Source organism: Homo sapiens, chromosome 5 (genome assembly GCF_000001405.40).
Source record: "Homo sapiens chromosome 5, GRCh38.p14 Primary Assembly".
NCBI classification, from domain to species: domain Eukaryota; kingdom Metazoa; phylum Chordata; class Mammalia; order Primates; family Hominidae; genus Homo; species Homo sapiens.
Window position 1 is genome coordinate 132,592,537 of NC_000005.10, and position 14,797 is coordinate 132,607,333.

General features: G+C 39.2%; 1 protein-coding gene across 1 annotated transcript in view; it reads left to right on the forward strand.

Annotated features, from left to right (window-relative positions):
- The window catches only part of RAD50 (RAD50 double strand break repair protein), an 89,373-nt gene that overhangs the window by 35,560 nt on the left and 39,016 nt on the right, over positions 1 to 14,797 (forward strand). Inside the window, exons 12-16 of the mRNA NM_005732.4 lie at positions 2,333 to 2,508; positions 3,037 to 3,274; positions 10,764 to 10,953; positions 11,384 to 11,510; positions 12,270 to 12,463. Coding sequence (NP_005723.2) covers positions 2,333 to 2,508; positions 3,037 to 3,274; positions 10,764 to 10,953; positions 11,384 to 11,510; positions 12,270 to 12,463 — 925 coding nt within the window. The remainder of the gene's footprint in view (positions 1 to 2,332; positions 2,509 to 3,036; positions 3,275 to 10,763; positions 10,954 to 11,383; positions 11,511 to 12,269; positions 12,464 to 14,797) is intronic.

Below are 14,797 nucleotides of genomic sequence, written 5' to 3' on the forward strand. Positions count from 1 at the left end.
CTTTCCTGGGCATTTTTCTGCTAATGCTTTGGCTAGCTTTCTCAGAACACTCTCATAATAAGCAGTTGTTACCTTTCTTCGGCCCTCCAGAAAGTCAGCAAGCAAAATGCCTTGAGCATCCCCAACAACTGTTGCCATGACCTTTGCTCTTATCTGGTCTGCTTTTGCTTTGACTGGACCACTTCCACCACTTGTTAGCCATTGCTTTCATTGTGCTTTGTCTTCAGGATTGTACTGGTAAAGCCACATTCCATCACCTCCTGTTACAATTCTTTGAAGAAATGCTTTAGGAACTTGATCCCACTTATTGAGGAAGTTCTGCTGTTGTCTGCAGCTGATCTGGAAGCAGTGATTTTGGGCATCCATCAAGTAGAACGTTTACTCAACTTTAATTTTTCAGTCAGAATTGTGTAACCTGAATCAATTGAGGTGTCTATGGTGTTGGCTATTGTTTCTGCTGTTAATCATTGATCTTCTTCAGTTAGGGCATGAAGAAGATGATTTTTTTTCCTCACAAATTGATGTGAACAGTCTGTCACTGTGGGCTTCATCTTTAATATCGTCTCATCCCTTCTTAAACTGAGTTATCCATTTGTAAACTGCTGATTTGTTTGGGGCATTGATCTCATAAACTTGTTGTAAAGTATCAATGATTTCACCATTCTTCCACCCACACTTCACCATAAATTTGATACTTGTTCTTGCTTCAGTTTAATTGGGGCTCTTTTCAAACTGATGTCTTAACCTTGTTAGTGCCTTAAACTAGATCCTATTCAGACATGTTATAACAAGTTAGTATGAGTTTGTTTCAGTGCAAAACATTTTGAACTTCATGCATAGTTTTTTTTATAATACACATTTTCCATGAACATTTTGAAGACCCCTCATATTTTGCAAATTAAGTAAAATGGTAACGGATAGTAATTTAGGCCTCTTGTCCCTTGAAAATTTGTAGACCTATGAAGATTAAAATTTAAAAATTCTATTTTCATTTCTGTGAGTAATCCATTATAAAAAGTGATCATGTTTCTCAGATGTTACCTTGGATAGTGGTTGGATAAGCGGGTCAAAAATTCCACACAGATTTTTGAGGAAAGTAGAAGGACTTGGCTTTGGTGGTGTTTAATCTGTGTTTCTTGTGGAAGTATCTGTGAGGGAATACAATATTGGAGTTTGAAATTCAGGAGATTGGAAGTTGTTGCTATGTAAGGGATACTCAAAGTCATTAGTATGTCACCTTGAGAGAGTTATGCAAAGGGAAGGAGTTACAATTAGATTCCTGGGAAGCACAAACATTTAAAATGTTAGCAGGCAAAGGAAAAGGAGCAAGTGAAGGAAACTGGGATGTGCCCAGGGAACCAGGGTGAGAGCCAGATAGCTGTGGTGTCTAGGTGCCTTGGGAAAATAGTCTTCAAGGAGAAGGTCAACAGTGTTTGGTGCTACGTAGAGGTAGAGTAAGATGAAGACTGTACTTGGCACTTAGGTCACTGGTGATCTTGATGAGAAGTGCTCAAGGGAGTCTAGGATAATGAAAATATCATCATATTAGTTACTTTTTTCCAAATGTTTACTGTGACTCAGGATGGGTAGTCATGATGAAGAAGCATGTGTGCAGTCACACACATTTATCTGAAACAAATTTCTCAAAGTAGTACATATACATACAGCCTACTCCAATATATTACCGTCTATTCTGTTTCATTTTTAAAAAATATGCTGAATACATTAAATTGATTACATGGTAGCTAATGCATCTAAACCTGCAAATTGAAAAACCATGTTATGTGTGAGTATTGAGGTTGGCTAGGATGATGTTTAAGAATTAAAGTGGGGATAAATTGTACTAGTAAGCAAAATCTTTGATGAATGAGAGGGAATGACTGATCTGGACGCAAGTGGATGACAGCAACAAGGAGGGGGAGGATACAAAAGAAACAGTATTTACAGGAGAGTAAGGAAGTAGTATTTGTGAAAGGACTAAAGGGAATTACGGGGATGTTCTCTTGTCTTCTTTCTGTCCAATAGTCCTAGCAAGCATCTTGCTGAGGCTTAACCTGGGATCAAAGACCATGAACCCCCAGAAACCAGGCAGAATTCTGTGTACATTTTTCTGGGAGCAGGCCCATGAGTAGGACTGGCAGGTGAGTCAGTGTCCTAGGGGGAGAGTTAAGGCAGAAGTGGACTAGTCCCTCAACTTCTGAAAAAAATTATTTGGTCATACCAAACTCTTGTCATGATTTGTTGGCAGAATTTGTCTTGTTTTTGCCTACTCAAATTTTCAAACTAATTTCTCCTATTTTAAAATGAAAATCCATATTTGCTCTTATTTTAGCAAGGAACTAGCTTCATCTGAGCAGAATAAAAATCATATAAATAATGAACTAAAAAGAAAGGAAGAGCAGTTGTCCAGTTACGAAGACAAGCTGTTTGATGTTTGTGGTAGCCAGGATTTTGAAAGTGATTTAGACAGGCTTAAAGAGGAAATTGAAAAATCATCAAAACAGCGAGGTAAGTTGTCTACTTTATATTATCAGGATACTTTGACACCTTTGAATTTTCATTCACAGGTAACTGTTAAGGATGGGGAATTTAAAAACCTGGTTATGGAGCCTAATGGCTTGGATTTCAGTCCTGGCTCTACAACTTACTCACTGTGTGACTTTAGGCAAGTTACTGAAACCTTCCTGTGTTTCATTGTCTATAAAATGAGGACACAACTACCACCTGTGGTACTGAGGTGTGAATGAGATTGTAATTATAAAGCCCTTAGAACAGTGCCTGGCACATAGAAAGCTCTCAGTAGGCATTTTGTTATACTTATAATGTGTTACCAAAAAATATTTATACAAATCTGAATGTATCATGCTCTTTGGAAGCGAATATCGGAATTTTAAATATCAGAATTTTTATTTCTTTTATAATATATTTATAAAGCAAGAATAATCATATATTTATAGAAAAAGATACAACCGTATTCAGAATACTGTATTTTATGTTTTTTTCTCATTGGTGATATAATTTATTTTCTTAAAATAGCCATGCTGGCTGGAGCCACAGCAGTTTACTCCCAGTTCATTACTCAGCTAACAGACGAAAACCAGTCATGTTGCCCCGTTTGTCAGAGAGTTTTTCAGACAGAGGCTGAGTTACAAGAAGTCATCAGTGATTTGCAGTCTAAACTGCGACTTGCTCCAGATAAACTCAAGTCAACAGAATCAGAGCTAAAAAAAAAGGAAAAGCGGCGTGATGAAATGCTGGGACTTGTGCCCATGAGGTAAGAATGGGATTTACCTTCACTGTACATGTAGCAGCACATTGTAAAAGGTACCCATCTCATGCCTGGGCAGATGGTAGTTACTCAGTAAGGACTCTGAGCTGGTATGCCCTGTCTTATATCACTTCTATGATAAGAAGATTCAATTATTTTGTTTAAAGATAAGCTTGTTTCCTGTCTTTTTTTCTTTTTCTTTTTTTTTTCTGAGACAGAGTCTCTCTCTGTCACCTAAGCTGGAGTGCAGTGGCATGATCTTGGCTCATTGCAACCTCCACCTCCCAGAAGCGATTCCCATGCCTCAGCCTCTTCAGTAGCTGGGATTACAGGCATGTACCACCACGCCCAGCTAATTTTTGTAATTTTTAGTAGAGATGGAGTTTCACCATGTTGGCCAGGCTAATCTCGAGCTCCTGGCCTCAAAGTGATTGGCCCACCTCGGCCTCCCAAAGTGCTGGGATCACAGGTGTGAGCACCGTGCATAGCCAGTAAGCTTATTTCTTAAACTATGAGGTAGACACAGTCTTTACGTTCTTTTGTATGTGTGTTTAATTCCCAAGACTTAGCTTGTGGGCATAGATTTTCACAGATTTAGGACTGTCTGTTGACATGCCACTTTCTGAACCCAGCAAAAGAATTTAAGTATTGAAAAGTTCTCCCAGAAGACAGATTTTAAACTATGTTTTTAATGTCTTTTCCACTTGCTAAAAGAATGAATCATAGATGATTTTCGGTTGTTTATATTTTCCATCACTTATACAAGAAATTCGTGTTATGTTCTGTTTACAAACAAAAATCAAGTCAGGAAATATGTGATGATTGCCTTAGTGTCTCCCAGAACATAGAGAACAAGGCTAGTGCCAGAGACCTAAGACATGACCCTCCAGGAGCTAATGGTCTGATTAAGAAGACAAGCTCTCAGAATTCAACATTTAGAAAGCTAGGCTTAATAAAGTGCTTAAAAAATGATTCAAACAGATGTGTTAGGTAAGAAGGGAGGAGCCAATGGATACAGAATGAGAAGAATATTTTGAGAATGAGGCAGGAAGAGGAATATAAGACCTGGAGAAGTTCATTCAGCTCAACTGAGAGGAGACGGAAGTCAGAACACGGTGCAAAGGGAAGAGGAGTATGACCTATGCTGCAGTAGAAATGTTATCTGGAGTTTGGGGAATTATTTATAGGGATTGAGTCCTGTATGTTGGGGAGATAGGGCTACATTATATTCAGGTCTAGTTGTAACTCTGATAGGTGATGAGGAGCCAACCTAAGGGAGTTAGTGAAAGATGTATTTTAGGAAAATTAATCTAATATTAATATATTGACTGAAACAGGCTGAGAAAAGCTCAGGAAGCAGAAAAACCAGGAGAGTGAAAGTGATTGTCCTGGAAAACCAAGGAGGAGTTTCAGGAAAAGGAGAAAGAAAGGCCTAAGAAGATGTGGTTTGTGGCAGCCAACTTCTAAGATGGTCCCTAGTAATCTCGGCCTCTTGGTATTTATACTCTTGTATAGTCCCATCTCATGCTGTTGCATGATTGGTCTATATAACTGATAAAACAGGCAGAAGTGATAGCATGGCCTTTCCAACATTAGGTTATTTAAGGTACTATGGCTTCTTCTGTTCTCGCAATGTGCTTGTACCCTTGTGTGAACTCGCTCACTCTCCCCCACTCCTCCCCTCTCTCACTCACTCTGTCTCCCTCTGTCTCTTGTCTGAGGGAAGCTAGCTGCCATGTTGCAAGCAGCCCTCTGGAGAGGCCCATATGCCAAGGACCTGAGGCCTTTGAGCAAGTGAGTTTGGAAGCAGACTTTGTAGCAGTCAAGCCTTAAGATGACTGCAGTCCTGGCTGACAGCTTGATTGCGACTTCATGCGAGACCCTGAGTCAGAAGCGTATCTCTTGATCCTCATATCTCTGAGAAATAATAAGTGCTGTTATTTTAAGCTGCTAAGTTTTGGGATACTTTGTTATGCAACAATAGATAACCAACACAAGCATCAAGGGTGAAAACCAGATTATTGGGGCCACAGAGATGAGGAGACAGAGGCAGTAGTTTGAGAATAAAAAGGAAGGAGAGGAATAAGGTAGTATCTTGAAAAGAAAAAGATCAAATGGATAAAATTTGAAATTGGTAGAAAGTACACGTAGTAGAAATATGAGCTTAGTTCTGTGTTAGACTGTTATACAATAAATGGCAGAAATTAACATCGTATTATATTTTAGGACCCTAGCTATCACGGCTCCTTTTTTTTTTTTTTGAGACAGAGTTTTGCTTTGTCGCCCAGGCTGGAGTACAGTGGCGCAGTCTTGGCTCACTGCAATCTCCACCTCCCCGGTTCAAGCAATTCCCCTGCCTCAGCCTCCCAAGTAGCTGGGATTACAGGCGCACGTCACCAGGCTCGGCTAATTTTTTTTGTATTTTTAGTAGAGAGAGGGTTTCACCATGTTGGCCAGACTGGTTTCAAACTCCTCACCTCAGGCAATCGCCTGCCTCAGCCTCCCAAAGTGCTGGGATTACAGGCGTGAGCCACCGTGCTGGGCCACAGTTTCCCCTCTAAGAGTAAGGTGCATGTCTTACTCGTTGTATCTCCACAGTTCCTTGTATATTGCAACTTTGATAACTATTTGCTAAATGAATGAGAACTGTAATGTCTGTTCCAATTATTTATTGCTATGTAACAAACCTCAAATCTGTCTCACAATAATTTTTCATGGTTCTGTGGTATGACTGGGCTCAGCTAGGTGGCTTTCACTTGGGGTCTTACGGTTGCAGTCAGATGTTGGCTGCAGTCGTCTCAAAGCATAACCGAGCTGGATGTTCTTGATGGCTCACATGACTGACAGTGATGCTCACTATTGTCTGGGAGCTCAGCTGGGGCTGTCAAAATAGGACATCTTCACATGGCCTCTGCATGCGTCTTGGGCTTTTGGCAGCACAGTGACTGGGTTACTAAACAGAGTATCCTAAGGGTAAGTATTCCATGAACAGGAAGTAGAAGCTGCAAGTCCTTTAAGGCCTAGACCAAGAAACTGGCATGGTGACACTTCTTTTTCTGTTGGTTAGAGTGGTCACAGAAACTCCCAAGATTCAGTGAGGGAGGATACTGTATCTCTTGATGGGAAGAGTGTCGAAGTACTTGTGGCTGACTTGAATCTGCCTAACCCTATATCTGCAGTAGCATCTGTGTGCCATTCTGGTTACCTAGAGACTAGGCAACCACACATTTGTATATTCTATATTGTAACTTTGATAACTATTTGCTGAATGAATGAGAACTGTAGTGTCTATTCCCGTTATTGATTGCTTGTAACAAACCCCCTCAAAACTGTCTCGCAGTGATTAGTTTTTCATGGTTTCATGGGATGACTGGGCTCAGCTAGGTTAGCCAGGTAAATGGCTGGTTACCACACATTTTAAGAGAACCTGAAGCTAGAAAAGGCCTACAGGAAGCACTGAAAATGGACCAAGATGCTGGCAGGGCTGCTAAGTGAGGACACATGTGTGAGGAAACCATTTTTATAAAGAAACCAAAACTTGAAGACCCGAAGAGCAGGGAAATGATGAACCCCTGTTTGTTTAGCAAGCTCTAACAGAATGTCAGTGGGCCATTCTGGAAAACTGGAGAAGGATGAGTTTGGGACAAATGAGAGAGGAAGTCTTCTTCCCAATAGTAGGAAATAACATTATAAAACACTTTTTTTAAGTTTAAATAAATCCACAAATGAAAGGTCAATAATGAATTAAGAGGACTTGATTGATTGATAGATAGGGTCTTGCTCCTGTCACCCAGGCTGGAGTGTAGTGGTGTGATTGATTATAGCTCATCGAAGCCTCGAACTCCTAAGCTCAAGCAATCCTCCTACCTCAGCCTCCCAAAGTGCTAGGATTACAGGCATAAGCCACCATGCCCAACCAAGAGGACTTTTTTTTTTTTTAAATATGGGAAAGCAATTGCCTAAGAGTGCAGTCAGGTTGACTTCAAATTCCAACTCTGCTGGGTGACCTTAGGGATGTTACTTAACCCATTTGGGCCTTCGTATCCCCCACGTAAAGTGAGGGGATTGATTTACATGATCATTAAGCTTCCTTCCACCTCTGGTTAGGATACTACTTTCAAATATCCCGTGGGGTCACTTTCAGAGACATTGTGGAGGTCTATTTATGATAGTCACTTAGGTGGAAGGTTATTGGTGAAGAGGGGTAAAGTAACAAGATTAAATTTATCTGTGCACCATTTGCTTTTTCACCTTTAGAATATGCCCTTGATGCCACCACTATCATGAGAACTGTCTATTCATGCAACCAATATAGGCAGTCTACTGGAGTGCAGGTAATACAGCAGTAAACAAAATGGACAAAGTCCCTGCCCTCATGGAGTTTATATCCCAGTGGGGAGGAGATGGATGACAAATAAGTAAATATATAATATGCCAGGGGATGATCAGGGGCATTGAGAAAACTACAGCAAGATAAGGGAATAGGGACTAGCTGAAGGGTGGTAGGAGGGGACTTGATGAAGGTGGCAGTGGAGTGGAAACTTGAGAGAAGTGAGGGAGTCAGCCATGCAGTTGTCCATAAGAAGAATATTCTAGGCAGTGCAAAATCTCTGAGACATATTTGACCTGAAGGCCAAAGGGAAAAGTTGTGGAAGATGAGCTCAGAGAGGTAGTGGGGAGCCATATCTTGCTTATCTTCTTTGCGGGAAATATTTTCATTTAAAGCCTCAAATTCGCCAGTATCTAATATAAACCTAACATCATGACTGAGATCTCAGCTGAAAATGTACCTGTTTATCATTTTGTCTAGTACTGACTCAGATTCATTTATTATAGCACCTCATTTAAATGCAAACTCAATTGGTATTTCTCCCACAGGTTTTTTTCAGTACCATATCTGTGTGAGCCTTTTTACACACAATCCCCTTAGAAAAGGAATGTTGTCTAAAAATAGGTGAATTGAGTTTCTGAAAAAACAGAAATCCAAAGAGTAAATTTCAAATGTCTGTCTATAAAAAATGATAGGCAGGCAAGGTAATGGATATGTTAAATTACCTTTATTTAATCATTGTGCATTGTGTACATATATCAGAACATCACATTGTACCCCATAAATGTTTGCAATTATGATTTATCTATTGAAAATAATTTTAAAAAACCTTGTGAATCGTGAGAAAAATTAACTCTTGAAAATAAAAAATAAAATGTCATAAATTTAAAAAAAAGAAAAACAAACCCAGAGAGTGCAGTGGCACAATCTCAGCTCACTGCAACCTCCACCTCCCGGGTTTAAGCAGTTCTCTTGCCTCAGCTTCCCAAGTAGCTGGGATTACAGGCGCCCTTCACCACGCCCAACTGATTTTTTGTATTTTTAGTAGAGATGGGGTTTCACCATGTTGGCCAGGCTGGTCTTGAACTCCTGACCTCAGGTGATTCACCAGCCTCAGCCTCCCAAAGTGCTCATATTACAGGCGTGAGCCGTCACACCCGGCCAGAAAACTTCTTTTAACATCTTATGTAATCATCAAAAAAGAAGGCACCAAAACCTAGACCATATTGATGAAAGATTTTGTGTGTGTGTAGGAAAATGTAAAAATAGGGTTAAAATTGTATGTATACCTACAGTTCTTCACAGAGATGTCCCCAGTTTAATAAATGCTTGGCCATCATTATTAGGCTGTCATAGCTGTGTCACTTTTTAGATATTGGGCACATAATTTAAGGCCAACTACTAATCTGTGACAACAGTGTTCAAGAGGAAACATTGGCATGGAATTACTCATAACCTGCATACCTTCATATTTATTATGTGGAATACAAATACCTCCTATTTCTGTGGTATAAAAAAAAACTGTAGGTCTGACATGCACACATATGTTTATTGCGGCACTGTTCACGATAGCAAAGACTTGGAACCAACCCAAATGACCATCAATGATAGACTAGATAAAGAAAATGTGGCACATATACACCATGGAGTAACTATGCAGCCATATAAAAGGATGAGTTCATGTCCCTTGCAGGGACATGGATGAAGCTGGAAACCATCATTCTCAGCAAACTAACACAGGAGCAGAAAACCAAACATTGCATGTTCTCACTCATAAATGGGAGTTGAACAATGAGAGCACATGGACACAGGGAGGGGAACATCACACACACTGGGGCCTGTCTGCTGGTGGGGGGCTAGGGGAGGGATAGCATTAGGAGAAATACCTAATGTAGATGATGGGTTCATGGGTGCAGCAAACCACCATGGCACGTGTATACCTATGTAACAAACCCACACGTTCTGCACGTGTATCCCAGAACTTAAAGCATAAAAATAAATAAATAATTAAAAAATTTTAAAAAACTATAGGTCTGTTGCCACAGGTCAGGTTGGCATTTCTTGGTCATAGTTTGCATTTTTAAAAAATCATTAAGTAATAGCCACTTGAGTTTCTGGTTATTCTTTAAGTTTATAATAAGACTCCTATTAGAGACCAGTTTAATTTATTCTACTGCTTTGTCATACTAATTCAATATAATTTTAAATAAGAATTTGGAATATTTCTGAAGTAAATTTTTTTTAAAAGATTAAATACATATTATTGTTTCAGAGGCATCAGCAAAAATAGTTGTCAGTACCTGCCATGGAGGTGGTAATTCATTAGCTACAGTAGTGAGTACCAGTAAAATGGGTTGACATTTTGTACCTTAAACCCATGTAGCATTTCACTTAGTGGCTGGCTTCCTTCCTTTTTTTCCTGTAATTTAAAAAATTTTTATTTTGAAATAATGTTAGGATTACAGAAAAATTATAAAAATAATACAAATTATTCATATATATCCCTCATCCAGCTCCTCCTGATGTTAACAATTTATGTACTCTGTTATAATACAGTTATCAAAACCAGGATTAACATTGATATAATGCTACTAACTAAATTACAGACCATATCGAATTTAGCAGTTTTTCCATCAATGCCTTTTCTGTTTCAGGGTTCCATGCAGGATCCCACGTAGCATCTAGTTGTTATTTCTCCTTAGGCTCCTGCAGTCTGTAACAATCTGTCTTTATCTTTCATGACCTTAACACTTTTGGTCAATATGACCAGTTCATTAGTAGAATATTTCTCAGTTTGACAAACACCACAGTAATAATTATTGCAAGCAAGATCTGTCAGTGGATACTAAAATCAGTAGGCAGAAAGTTGAGAAGCAAGATATTTACATAGTCTCAACATTTCTCTCCTAAGATACTTGTTAATTACAAAGACTAAAACAGTAACTTTACAGTGGAGAAACCTGGCCAACACCATCTAAGCCAAGTGAATAAGGATTAACATCATCAGTAATAAGACATATTGATATCATGATTCCATATCCACTGATATGATACCCTGAAAAGAACACAATGTCACTTCTGTGGTATTCTTCCTAAAAATACATAACCTCAGTCTAACTGTGAGAAACATCAGATACTTTATTTTTAATTGTGTTTTCTATTTAGGCAAAGCATAATTGATTTGAAGGAGAAGGAAATACCAGAATTAAGAAACAAACTGCAGAATGTCAATAGAGACATACAGCGCCTAAAGAACGACATAGAAGAACAAGAAACACTCTTGGGTACAATAATGCCTGAAGAAGAAAGTGCCAAAGTATGCCTGACAGATGTTACAATTATGGAGAGGTTCCAGGTAAGTTTATTGTAGTTTAAGGCAGAATAAAACTTGTTCCATGGTGGCTTGAATTTGAAGTGTGAGAGTTAAAAATAGTAGCTAGTATTCAGGTACAGGTTGTGTTTAGAATTCCCCATCCTGAATTTCAGATACCCTCAGGGAGAAACTGCTTAGTTTACATCCCTGGGTTTAAACTTTTTAATTCATAAATTTAAAAATTAAGACAGTTCTGTTTGTTTTTCATCTTTAGTCAGCTTCCTTTTGTTTACATCATTTGAATTGCTGATAATTAATTTCACTTTTATCCTATTAAACTTTGCTAAAATTGTATCTAGAAATGGTTTATAAGTTTAGATTTAAAAAATAAATGATAAGAGCAATTAATTTTTAAAGATTTTGAATAATGCAGTAAGTTTATTAAAGGAAATCATTTTGTTATATTCTTAAGATGGAACTTAAAGATGTTGAAAGAAAAATTGCACAACAAGCAGCTAAGCTACAAGGAATAGACTTAGATCGAACTGTCCAACAAGTCAACCAGGAGAAACAAGAGAAACAGCACAAGTTAGACACAGGTAATACAGTCTGTGTCCTTCTGTACTCATAGAGACTTTGACATTGCGAGCACATGCCTTTTACAGTCAATTTTATATCTGTTACATGGACAACGAAGTTCCTTCCTGTCCACATATATTTGCTCTTTTTTTCTGAAAAGCATCACTTCTCTTTGTTCTCTTACTTTGCACAACAGATTTTGAACAGTAGGAGAGTATGAAATAAGCTGTATTCTCTTTTCCTTTTTTTTTTTTTTAAGATAGAGTTTCACTTTTGTCGCCCAGGCTGGAGTGCAATGGTGCAATCTTGGCTCACTGCAACCTCCGCCTCCCGGGTTCAAGTGATTCTCCTGCCTCACCCTCCTGAGTAGCTGGGGTTACAGGCACACATCACTATGCCCAGCTAATTTTTGTATTTTTTCGTAGAGATGGGGTTTCACTGTGTTTGTCAGGCTGATCTCGAACTCCTGACCTCAGGTGATCCACCTGCCTCAGTCTCCCAAAGTGCTGGGATTACAAGTGTGAGCCAGTGCGCCTGGCCATGAGCTGTATTCTTTCTCATTCATACCTGCCCTGTAAGCTTTCCCTGTGAGTGGCCAGCAGGGAACATCAAGCTGATTTGAGAACTAGCAGGGTTCTCATTGTATTTTTGTTGCAGTGGGTGGGGCCCACAGAAATAGCATTTGTGGATTCCATAGACCGATAAAAATGGGAAGAATGATACAAATAGTATTTTCTATGCCCTTACATTAATTACTGTGATAATATGTTTTTGTGTAGTTTCTAGTAAGATTGAATTGAATCGTAAGCTTATACAGGACCAGCAGGAACAGATTCAACATCTAAAAAGTACAACAAATGAGCTAAAATCTGAGAAACTTCAGATATCCACTAATTTGCAACGTCGTCAGCAACTGGAGGAGCAGACTGTGGAATTATCCACTGAAGTTCAGTCTTTGTACAGAGAGATAAAGGTAAGAATATCCATACATGTTTTTTGTAAAATTATTTTAATTATTTATTTTTATTTTTATTTTTTGAGACAGTCTCGTTCTGTCACCCAGGCTGGAGTGCAGTAGCACGATCTCGGCTCACTGCAACCTCCATCTCCTGGGTTCAAGTGATTCTCTTGCCTCAGCCTCTGGAGTAGCTGGGATTACAGGCGTGCACCACCATGCCTGGCTAATTTTTGTTCTTTTAGTAGAGACGGGTTTTCGCCATTGGACAAGCTGGTTTCAAACTCCTGAACTAAGGTGATCCGCCTACCTTGGCCTCCCAAAGTGCTGGGATTACAGGCGTGAGCCAGCATGCCCCGCCCCATTCTTCTCTTTTAGAGACAGAGTCTTCATCAGTCTTCCAAGCTGGAATGCAGTGGTACAGTCACAGCTCACTCACTGCAGCCTCGACCTCCTGAGCTCAAGCAATCCTCCTGCCTCAGCCTCTCAAGTAGATGGGACTACAGGCACACACCACCACGCCTGGCTAATTTTTAAAATTTTTCTAGAGACAGGGTCTCACTATGTTGTTCAGGCTGGTCTCAAACTCATGGCCTCAAGCAATGCAGCCTTGGCCTCCCAAAATTACAGGCTTACATCACCTCACCCAGCCCATGTTTCTTTAATATGAAATGCTCTTTATTAGTGTAATGGCCAGAACTCTCAGCACCTCATCGCACTTATTCTAAAATTGACCACATAATTGGAAGTAAAACACTCTCAGCAAATGCAAAAGAACAGAAATCATAACAAACAGTCTCTCAGACCACAGTGCAATCAAATTAGAACTCAGGATTAAGAAACTCACTCAAAACCGCACAACTACAAGGAAACTGAACAACCTGCTCCCGAATGACTACCGGTTAAATAACGAAATGAAGGCAGAAATAAAGATGTTCTTTGAAACCAGTGAGAACAAAGATACAATGTACCAGAATCTCTGAGACACATTTAAAGCACTGTGTAGAGGGAAATTTATAGCACTAAATGCCCACAAGAGAAAGCAGGAAATAACTGAATTCAACACCTTAACATCAAAATTAAAAGAACTAGAGAAACAAGAGCAAACAAATTCAAAAGCCAGCAGAAGACAAGAAATAACTAAGATTAGAGCAGAACTGAAGGAGATACACGAAAAACCCTTCAAAAAAATCAATGAATCCAGGAACTGGTTTTTTAAAAAGATCAACAAAATAGACCACTAGCAAGACTAATACAGAAGAAAAGAGAGAAGAATCAAATAGATGCAATAAAAAATGATAAAGGGGATATCACCACCCATCCCACAGAAATACAAACTACCATCAGAGAATACTATAAACACCTCTACGCAAATAAACTAGAAAATAATAAATGGATAAATTCGTGGATACATACACCCTCCCAAGTCTAATCCAGGAAGAAGTCAAATCCCCAAATGGACCAACAACAAGTTCTGAAATTGAGGCAGTAATTAATAGCCTGCCAACCAAAAGAAGTCCAGGACCAGACAGATTCACAGCCGAATTCTACCAGAGGTACAAAGAGGAGCTGGTACCATTCCTTCTGAAACTATTCCTAACAATAGAAAAAGAGGGAATCCTCCCTAACTCATTTTATAAGGCCAGCATCATCCTGATACCAAAACCTAGCAGAGACACAACAAAAAAAGAAAATTTCAGGCCAATATCCCTGATGAACATCGATGCAAAAATCCTCAATAAAATACTGGCAAACCGAATCCAGCAGCACGTCAAAAAGCTTATCCACCACGATCAAGTCGGCTTTATTCCTGGGATGCAAGGCTGGTTCAACATATGCAAATCAATAAATGTAATCCATCACATGAACAGAACCAAAGACAAAAACCACATGATTATCCCAATAGATGGAGAAAAGGCCTTCGATAAAATTCAACACCGCTTCATGCTAAAAGCTCTCAATAAACTAGGTATCGATGGAATGTATTTCAAAATAATACGAGCTATTTATGACAGACCCACAGCCAATATCATACTGAATGGGCAAAAACTGGAAGCATTCCCTTTGAAAACCAGCTATTATGAGGATCAAATGAAAATGGTATAATAATTATTTGTGTGGTTCCTAAGTGATAGAACTTGTACTAGTAAGTAAAGATTTCTGGAAGAAGGAGTTTGCCATAATAAGGAAGAACTGGCTGCCTGGTTAAGTAGTAAATGTTATTGGAGGTGGTCAGGTGGTGGTTGGTTAATTCTGTATAAGGATTCCTGCTTGTACAGGAGGTTTGTCTTATCTGCAGATCCTTTATCTATGGCGGTCACTCTCAGTCATAGCACTCTTTCCATTTGATTC